General features: G+C 42.9%; 1 long non-coding RNA gene across 1 annotated transcript; it reads left to right on the forward strand.

Moving 5' to 3' along the window:
• The first annotated feature begins 777 nt into the window (after positions 1–777).
• On the forward strand, positions 778–3,940 carry LOC105371075 (uncharacterized). The gene is made up of 2 exons (XR_933060.2): positions 778–1,025; positions 3,386–3,940. It is a non-coding gene; the product is annotated as an uncharacterized LOC105371075 (long non-coding RNA).
• The last annotated feature ends 967 nt before the right edge of the window (positions 3,941–4,907 follow it).

The following is a 4,907-nucleotide window of genomic DNA, read 5'->3' on the forward strand; positions in this document are numbered from 1 at the left end:
ATTTTGAGATACGTCCCACCAATACCTAATGTATTGAGAGTTTTTAGCATGAAGGGTTGTTGAATTTTGTCAAAGGCCTTTTCTGCATCTATTGAGATAATCATGTGGTTTTTGTCTTTGGTTCTGTTTATATGCTGGATTACATTTATTGATTTGCGTGTATTGAACCAGCCTTGCATCCCAGGGATGAAGCCCACTTGAAGCAGAACTGAAGGAAATAGAGACACAAAAAACCCTTCAAAAAAATTAATGAATCCAGGAGGTGGTTTTTTGAAAGGATCAACAAAATTGATAGACCGCTAGCAAGACTAATAAAGAAAAAAAGAGAGAAGAATCAAATAGATGCAGTAAAAAATGATAAAGGGGATATCAGCACCGATCCCACAGAAATACAAACTACCATCAGAGAATACTACAAACACCTCTACGCAAATAAACTAGAAAATCTAGAAGAAATGGATGAATTCCTTGACACATACACTCTCCCAAGACTAAACCAGGAAGAAGTTGAATCTCTGAATAGACCAATAACAGGAGCTGAAATTGTGGCAATAATCAATAGCTTACCAACCAAAAAGAGTCCAGGACCAGATGGATTCACAGCCGAATTCTACCAGAGGTACAAGGAGGAACTGGTACCATTCCTTCTGAAACTATTCCAATCAATAGAAAAAGAGGGAATCTTCCCTAACTCATTTTATGAGGCCAGCATCATTCTGATACCAAAGCCGGGCAGAGACACAACCAAAAAAGAGAATTTTAGACCAATATCCTTGATGAACATTGATGCAAAAATCCTCAATAAAATACTGGCAAACCGAATTCAGCAGCACATCAAAAAGCTTATCCACCTGACACCTGTCTTATTGCCCGCTTCTTGCCTGTGCAGTCTTGTGTACCATCAACATCTGGTTTGTTCCACTTTACAAATGCACACAGCAGTGAAGGCTGCTACTGGCACTGGGATTCTTTGCATCCACCTCAATAGCTGAAGCCTCCTTGGGGCCCTTGGGTGATGTAACAAGGTAAGAATTCCATCTGGTTTGCAGAATCTTAGGAAACTTACTGTCCTCTCAATGCCACCCAGTAGCACCAGGGGGATAGGCAATGCCTTCTGCTGATTGAGACATCTTTCTTAAATCTCTCCCAACACCTAACCAACCAACCATCATCACAAATGATGGAGGATTAGCAGAAAGGAGAGGGTTGGGCATGATGGCGCATACCTGTAACCAAGAAATTTGCCAGGCTGAGGTGGAAGGATCGCTTGAGGCTAGGAGTTTGAGACCAGCCTGGGCAACATGGTGAGACATTGTCTCTACAATAAATAAATAAATAAATTTTTTTTTTGAGACAGAGTCTCACTCTGTTGCCCAGGCTGGAGTGCAGTGGTGCATTCTCGGCTCACTGCATCCTCTGTCTCTTGGGTTCAAGAGATTCTCCTGCCTCAGCCTCCTGAGTAGCTGGGATTACATGCGTGTGCCACCATACCCAGCTGACTTTTCTAGTTTTAGTAGAAACGGGGTCTCACCATGTTGGCCAGGCTGGTGTCGAACTCCTGACCTCTAATGATCCACCCGCCTCAGCCTCCCAAAGTGCTGGGATTACAGGTGTGAGCCACTGTGCCTGGTCTACAGGAAATAATTAAAAAAAAATTAACTAGGTATGGTGGCATGTGTCTGTAGTCCTAGCTACTCAGGAGAATCACTTGAGCCTGGAAGTTTGAAGCTGCAAGTGAGCTATGATTGTGTTACTGCACTGCAGTCTGGGTGACAGAGCCAGATCCTGTCTCTAAAAAAAAATAATAAAAAATAAATAAAAAAAAAAATGAGGGGAAAAGCAAATATCCAGATGATTCCCTCCACCCCCAAAACAAACTGATTTGTCCTTAAGAATCTTATTTTATTTTTAAACACTTTGGGATTTTAAAAATAGAATTCCCCTGATGATTCTCTCACTTAAAGACTTGCATTTAGATCAAGTAACTTCAAGTGTCCAGGCACCAGAAATACTGCTCAGAACCATATATTTCCCCTCCAACATGCAGCATAGGTGTCAGTCTCATAAATAGGGGGAATGCCAGATGTGCCCAAGTATGGACTTAGCCAGTACAAAAGCGCAAATATATCGGACACGCAGACTTAGACAGGTTTGCTACATAACCAGAGAGATCACTGGATTTACTCAGTTCCAAATGAGCAGCTCCCCTTTTAAGCTTCTTCAAGCTTGGCATCTGTGGGACTTTGTAAATCCCCAGCAGAGCTCAGGGGAAGTGGTCCTGAATTGTTTAACAGCCACAGCAATTACTTTGTTTTATACACGACATTCTTACCTCATCCATCTGGGAGGACAACAGGTGGAGCAACTAAAAAAAAAATTGTGTGAGTGCTTGAGTGGCTCCAAGTTGAATATTAAACAGAAACCCTCAGTGCCCCACGATTCTGGAGATTGGTGTGCATTTGTGATATACAACAGAAGTCAAATCAATATTCAACCAGAGAAACAAATCAGGAGTGAACAGTTTCATACTTAGTCAAGTGTGCTGAGCTCTCCAAGGATGTAGAAAAGAAAGATTTCCTCGGTCCTCTGTGCATGCCCCAAAGGACATCTAAAATCTTCCCAAGGTTAACACCAGAATAAAAGAGACCTTTGGCAATTGTGATATTGTGAGAATTTCCATTCGATAAAGATAATGGAATTTTTAAAGTACTTCTTGGTTGCTATTAGGTCCATGCTGGGAAAATGATGGAAAAAATCCAGTAAAAATATTTTTTTAATATTAGTGGGAAATAATATAGAGAAAAAGAAAATCCCCCGCTAATGAGGAACAATCTAATTTCTGGAAATGGCCACTGTGTTGGATAGATTTTCTGTAATTTCGATTATTGGTATGATTGATTAATCTTGGGATGGCCAACAAGAATGTAAAGAGTTGTCTGGTCACAGATTCTTTTTTTTTTTTTTTTTAATTTTATTGTACTTTAAGTTCTGGGATACATGTGCACAATGTGCAGGTTTGTTACATAGGTATACACATGCCATGGTGGTTTGCTGCACCCATCAACCCGTCATCTACATTAGGTATTTCTCCTAATGCTATCCCTCCCCTAGCCCCCCACCCCCCGACAGGCCCTGGTGTGTGATGTTCCCCTCCCTGTGCCCATGTGTTCTCATTGTCTGGTCACAGATTCTAGGGAATGGGAGATTGAGAGTACATCAGTTTATGCCTTTTTCAGCATCTCGTCTTATCTCACTTTGTAAATTCTATGAGCTGAAGGAAAGGTCATGTGTCTCTTCTTTTAGGACACAGTCCAGTCCAGGTATCTGAGTGGTCACCCCATGTCTGTGTGTCTCCTGAAATGGCGATGTCTTGTGGGGTTTCTAGTTGCAGGTGCCATCAGAATTTGGAGGCCAAAAAAGTAATGGTGGTGGTCCAAGGTGGACATCTGTCAAATGGGTAGTTTGAAAGATGGATTCAGGAGCTGAGATGCTGTGTCTATTATGGATGTTGAGACAGAGAATCATGTTATCTAACTTTTGGGAAGAGTGGAAAACGTCATCTCGTCCCACAACTGCCAGGAGCGATGCAATGGAGGATTCGAAATCACGTGCCGCGACAAGCTAGAGTTACTCCTCCAAGCCACCAGGTGTCACTGGTGTGCCAAGGCGGCAACGAAGCCAAGTTTTCCCGGTGGATGCGGACACTGGAAACCAGCAATCCTTTTAGTTCCCCAACCTGGTTGCCCATCAGAATTCCTTGAGAAATTTAAATAATAATTCTTGGAAATCACTTCAGACCCACTGAATCAATCGAGGCCCAGAAGTGAGTATCTAAAAAAAATTGTTATATGGAAATTGTCATTATTTGGGATGTGTGTGCTGGGGGATTGCTGCTGTATATTATATCTCTATTTAAATAAATGTCCCAGGTGATTCTGTAGTTGCAGCAGGTGTTTGGAAAAATGGAACCAATTTCTTTAACAAAGAAGAAGACTAATTTTCCAAGAGTTGAGGGACTTGCTTAATGCCACCCAAGACAGAGCCATGCTTAGAGGCTGGGCACCTCAACTCAAGTGGGGTCCCTTCCCTCTAGGCAGGGCTGCAGCTCCTAAAGTAGTTCCGGAGACTTCTGGGAAGTTTTGTGCCCTCTCTTGCACTCCCCCCCCCGCCCCCACCAAGCCCAAAAGACACATCCACAGAAGAACTGGTTTATTTGGCAGAATATAATCTTCTTATCCTCTCTGATAGCTCTCCTCCCACCTCATTCTCCAGAGCTCCCACATACAGAGGTCTGATCCCCCTCCTCCAGGTGAGTGATCTCCATGGGCAATTGGACAAAGCAGAATGGCCTACGCTCTGGCACAGCTGATGGGTTAACATGTAACATTTATTGAGCATCTAGTACGTGCCAGGCACTTTCCCATCCATTTGAATGTCATATCAACATTCTGAGAACTACAAATTATTATTTCAATTTACCAAATGAACAGACAGGCTCAGAGAAGTGAAGAAACTCAATCAAGATCACAAAGCTCAGAATTACAGAGATTCAAGCCCAGGTATTTTTTTTTTTTTTTTGAGATGGAGTCTTGCTCTGTCGCCCAGGCTGGAGTGCAGTGATGTGATATCCCCTCACTGTAACGTCTGCCTCTCAGGTTCAAGTGAGTCTCCTGCCTCAGTCTCCCGAGTAGCTGTGACTACAGGCGTACACCATCACACCCAGCTAATTTTTGTATATTTAGTAGAGATGGGGTTTCGCCATCTTGGCCAGGCTGGTCTTGAACTCCTGACCTCAAGTGAACCACCTACCTTGGCTTCCCAAAGTGCTGGGATTACAGGTGTGAGCCACTGTGCCTGGCCTCAAGCCAGGGCTTTTGGGCTTCAAAGCCATATTAATCATCATCATA

The sequence above is a fragment of the Homo sapiens genome, chromosome 16 (assembly GCF_000001405.40).
Source record: "Homo sapiens chromosome 16, GRCh38.p14 Primary Assembly".
Lineage (NCBI taxonomy): Eukaryota > Metazoa > Chordata > Mammalia > Primates > Hominidae > Homo > Homo sapiens.